Raw genomic sequence first — 5,241 nt, 5'->3', positions numbered from 1 at the left:
CATAAGTTTTTAAACAGAAACTTTAAGAAAGTGATTATGCACTTAAAAAATCATATCAAGCAATATAAAATCTGAACACCAGATTGGTACAAAACATGAATATCACATAAAAGTAACCTAGCATTGAAAATGAGAAGCTGTTACCCTGTGAAATTATAATGTAAAAACACACTAGATAAAATGCAGTATCTTGAGTATAATCTGTTACAAATTCTGAAATTGTGTACAAAATGTATATTATATGGATTTTAAGACCTCTCCCAAATGTAGACTTTTGACATACCTGGCCTGTAAAAGATATATAGGCTGACAGACCTAGGGGAAAAAATGCTATGTTCTGAGCCCAATGTGCCTCTTTGGTCCATAAGTATCATTTACAAGAATAATCATGATTCTCTGATTCCAAACTGTTGCCCCCATTATGAGCCGATTGCTCATACCTGTGGCACCAGTCACTCCATCAAACCTTTATTCTGGGCTGCACACTCCTGGAAGGAACCATAAAGGAGGTCTGAGGGCAAATATCCTTTGTGTTAGGATCTGGCTCATGTCCACATCCCCCTTGCTGGTGCCATATTCAATCCATGAGGACCTACTGGATTCTAGACCTTAGTAGTAGACATAAAATTCCAGAACAGTTTATGGAATTTTACTATGTGGTCCTTCTGTTTCTTAGCATTTTTGTCTTAATCAGTTTAGGCTGATATAATAAATTATCATAAACTGCGTGGCTTAAACAAGAAATATTTATTTCTCATAGTTCTGGTGGCTGGCAAGTCCAAGATCAAGGCATCAGCATGGTTGAGTTCCAGTAACTGCTGATTGCAGACTGCTGATTTCTTATTTTATTCCTACATGGTGGAAAAAGAGCAAGCTAATTCTCTGGCCTCTCCTGTCCAATTTGTAAAATTTCATATTCAGACATGTAAAAGTTATAATGCTTATTTCAAATTGAGAATCAGTAGGGTGATAGGCATTTTAGCAAGAAACATAATTATCTCCATATATAAACTAATTTTAAATATTACAGTTTAGTTTTCCAGGTACTAATTCCTTGGCTCATATAAAATGTATACTTCAGAAAATCTCTTTCCTTGTTTCTGCTTTTTATTCCAATATTATAACTTCTCATAAAAAATGAAATAAGATAAATTTAAATGCTGTGTAATTCAGCTATCTGGAAAAGGACATCATTCTTCTGATGACACTGAACATGTAGATGAGGAATCATAGTGGAGGAAAGCTATCTTACTGGGACCAAGTATCCCAGTGGTCACAGACTTAAGGGAAGGGATTCAGGATGTTAGGGATGTAGGGGAGGAAAAACACCATTTACTTCCACTATCTTTTTGTCCATAGTCAATTTTGTCTGAGAGTAGTGATTGCTTTAGAGGTGAAGAGCTAAGAAAGACAGATTCATCTTCATTTCTGACCATTTCACTTCCAAATATGCATTAAAAGCACTAGTGTAAACTAATTTTATTACTCCTATCCTCCTGCAAGCCTGGAGGACATTGCCTGTGTCCCCCACATTGACTTCTTCAAGCAGTTTTTGATTCAATTGTTTCCACCCTGACATAACATAAAAGACAATATGGAACACACAGGTAACATTTATATCCTGGAAGGCTTTCTCTACCTCAGAGAGATGACAGATGTCTCCATGTATAAAGTTGATTCCTTCCAGAATGGTTTGAGCAGGGATACTTATGTCAAACAGAATCATATGGACTCCCTTCTGATTCAGAAACAGCCTAGGCAGAACCCAAAATATCTACCACTTCCTGTAATGACAACAATTTCTTTTTAAAAAAATAATTTTGATTTTATTTTATATTCAGGGGACATAGCTGCAAGTTTTTACACAGGTATGTGGAATAATGCTGATGTTTAGGATATGGATTCCATCACCCAGGTAGTGAGCATATTACCTAACAGGCAGTTTTTCAACCCATCTCCCCTCCCTCCTGCCCCTTCCAGTAGTTCACAGTGCCTAGTGTTACCATATTTATGTCAATGTGTACTCAGTGTTTAGCTCCCACTTACAAGTGAGAACAAGCTGTATTTGGTTTTCCATTCCTATATTATAACAATTTACTTAGGGTTATGGCCTCCAGTTGCATCCATGTTTCTGAAAAGGACATGATTTCATTCTTTTCTATAGCTGTGTAGTATTCTGTGGTGTATATGTACTACTACTACATTTTTAAAATTCAATCTACCGTTGATAAGCACCCAGGTTAATTCCATGTCTTTGCTATTGCGAATAATGCTGTTATGAACATACAAGTGTATGTGTCTTTTTGGTAGAATGATTTATTTTCCCTTGGGTATATGCCCAATAATGGGATTGGTAGGTTAAATGGTAGTTCTAAGTTCTTTGAGAAATCTTCAATTGCTTTCCACAGTGGCTGAACCAGTTTACATTCCCCTCAACAGTTTATAAGCATTCCCTTTTATGCACACACAGCCTCACCAGCATCTGTTGTTTTTTGACCTTTTCATAATAGCCATTCTGACTGGGGTGAGGTGGTATCTTATTGTAGTTTTGATTTGCATTGCTCTGATGATAGTGATGTTGGACATTTTTTCATATGTTTGTTGGCCACTTGTATGCCTTCTTTTGAGAAGTATCTGTCCATGTCCTTTGCCCATTTTTTAATGGGGTTATTTGTTTGTTTTTTCTTGATTTGTTTGAGCTCCTCATAGGTTCTGGATATTAGACCTTTGTTAGATGCATACTTTGCAAATATTTTCTCCTATTATGTAGGTTGTCTGTTTACTGACAGTTTCTTTCGATGAGCAGGAGCTTTTTAGTCTAATTGGGTCCCACATGTCAGTTTTTGGTTTTGTTGCAATTGCTTTTGGGGACTTAGCCAAAAATTCTTTGCCAAGGCTGATGTCCAGAATACTGTTTTTCCTAGATTTTCTTCCAGGATTCTTATAGTTTGAGGTCATACATTTAAATCTTGAATTCATTTTGAGTTAATTTTTGTATACGATAAAAGGTAGGGGTCCAGTTTCATTGTTCTGCATATGGCTAGCTAGTTATTTCAGCACTATTTATTGAATAGGGGACCCTTTTCCCATTTTTTTGTGGGCTTTGTCAAAGAGCAGATGGCTATAGGTGTGCAGAACTGCTTCTGGATTATCTATTCTGTTCCATTCATCTGTCTTTTTTTGTACCAGGACCAAGCTGTTTTGCTTACTGTAGCCTTATAGTATAGTTTGAAGTTGGGTAGTGTGATGCCTCCAGCTTTGTTCTTTTTGCTTAGGATTGCTTTAGCTATTCGGGCTGTTTTTTGGTTCTATATGAATTTTAGAATAGTTTTTTCTAGTTCTGTGAAAAATGACATTGGTAGTTATAGCATTAAATCTTTAAACTGCTTTGGGCAGCATGGTCATTTTAACAATATTGATTCTTCCAATCCATCAGCATGGAATTTTTTTTTATTTATTTGTGTCATCTGTGATTTCTTCCAGCAGTGGTTGGCAGTTCCCCTTGTAGAGATCTTTTTTCTTTTTCACATTATGGAACCTTTACTTTTCATGTGATTTCTGTACATAAGGAGTATGAGAGTAACCCTTTCACAAATGAAACTAATCTACTAGAATAAACAATGACAAAACTGAACTGGTATTTGATGTAAATCCACAGGCGTTTAAGCTTCAAATTCAGCATCTGATTCTTCTGAGATCTTTCCATCAGCCCTGGTAGTGCCCAACAGGGCTTGGTGTCAGCTGACATGAGACAAGAAAGCATTCTCAAACTTTGTAATCTTGCTGGGCTCCCGTTTATCAAGATAGCCCCTAATACCCACATGGATAACAGCCACTTGTTCTTCAATAGCCATGGGAGTATACTGTCTTTGCTTCAGCAACTCAGTTAGACACACACCACAACTCAAAAGTTGTTGAGTGGCAGCATCGAGGTCAGAACTGAACTGGGCAAAAGTGGTGACCTCATGATACTGAGCCACTTCCAGCTTCATGGTACCTGCCACCTGCTTCATAGCCCTGGTTTGGGCAGCAGATCTGACACGAGACACAGACAGACCGACATTAATGGCAGGGTGGATACCTTTGTAGAACAATTCTGTTTCCAAGAAGATCTGTCCGTTCGTGATAGAAATGACATTCATTGGAATGTAAGCAGACACATCACCAGTCTGTTTCTATGACTGGCAAAGCAGTCAAGGAGCCACCACCAAAAGCATTGTTCATCTGGGCTGCTCTCTCCAGCAACTGGGAGCATAGGTAGAACACAACACCAGGATAGGCCTCACAACCAGGGGGTTGGCAGAGCAACAGAAACATCTGATGGTAAGCAACAGCCTGTTTGGATAAGTTGTCATAGATGGTCAAAGCATGTTTGCCATTGTCTCTAAAATACTCTCCCATGGAACAGCCAGTGTAAGGAGCCAGTTACTGAAGTGGGGCAGCATCTGAGGCCGTAGCTGACACCACGATGGTGTAATTCATGGCATCTGCATCGTAAGTCTCTTCACCAACTGGGCAACAGTGGATCTCTTTTGACCAATAACAACATAGACACAGTACAGCTTCTTCTTTTCATCAGATCCATCATTGAAACATTTCTGGTTAATGATTGTGTCAATAGCAATTGAGATTTTTCCAGTCTGTCCATTACCAATAATCAGCTCACACTGACCATGGCCAATTGGCACCAAGCTATTTACAGCCTTAATGCCAGTCTGCATTGGTTCCTGCACTGAAATTTGAGGAATGATTCCAGGGGCTTTCAGACCAACTCACCTATGGTTCTTGGAACCAAATGGACCCTTTCCATCAATGGCATTACGAAGGGCATCAACCACATGACCCAACAGCTCCTCACCAACTGGAATGTCCACAATGGCTCTTGTCCTCTTCATTCTAGCTCCTTCCTTAATTAGTTAAACATTTCCAAACACGACAACACCAACATTGTCAGGTTTGTAGAGATCTTTAACCTTCTTGGTTAGCTGTATTCCTAGGTATTTCATTTTTGTGTGTGGCTATTGTAAATGGGATTGTGTTCTTGATTTGGCTCTCAGCTTGAACATTATTGGTGTATATGTAACCAGCTCAAGTCCAGCTGCTCTCCTCTCAGAAGTCAAAGCATGAGAACTGAGGTGTGGTGAAAGGAAAGCAACTTTTATTGGTCAAATGCTAGCAGATGGGAGAATGTCTGGGCATAAGCCTCAAAAGAGCCATCTCAGCCTTCTGGGCCGAGTGAAG

The 5,241-nt window shown here is 38.8% G+C and overlaps 2 pseudogenes; both read right to left on the bottom strand.

Annotated features, from left to right (window-relative positions):
• On the bottom strand, positions 1,248-1,806 carry SDR42E1P4 (short chain dehydrogenase/reductase family 42E, member 1 pseudogene 4; annotated as a pseudogene).
• Positions 3,528-4,957, bottom strand: ATP5F1AP10 (ATP synthase F1 subunit alpha pseudogene 10; annotated as a pseudogene).

This window comes from Homo sapiens, chromosome 9, assembly GCF_000001405.40.
Source record: "Homo sapiens chromosome 9, GRCh38.p14 Primary Assembly".
NCBI lineage: Eukaryota > Metazoa > Chordata > Mammalia > Primates > Hominidae > Homo > Homo sapiens.
This window is presented reverse-complemented; position numbering and strand designations above follow the sequence as displayed.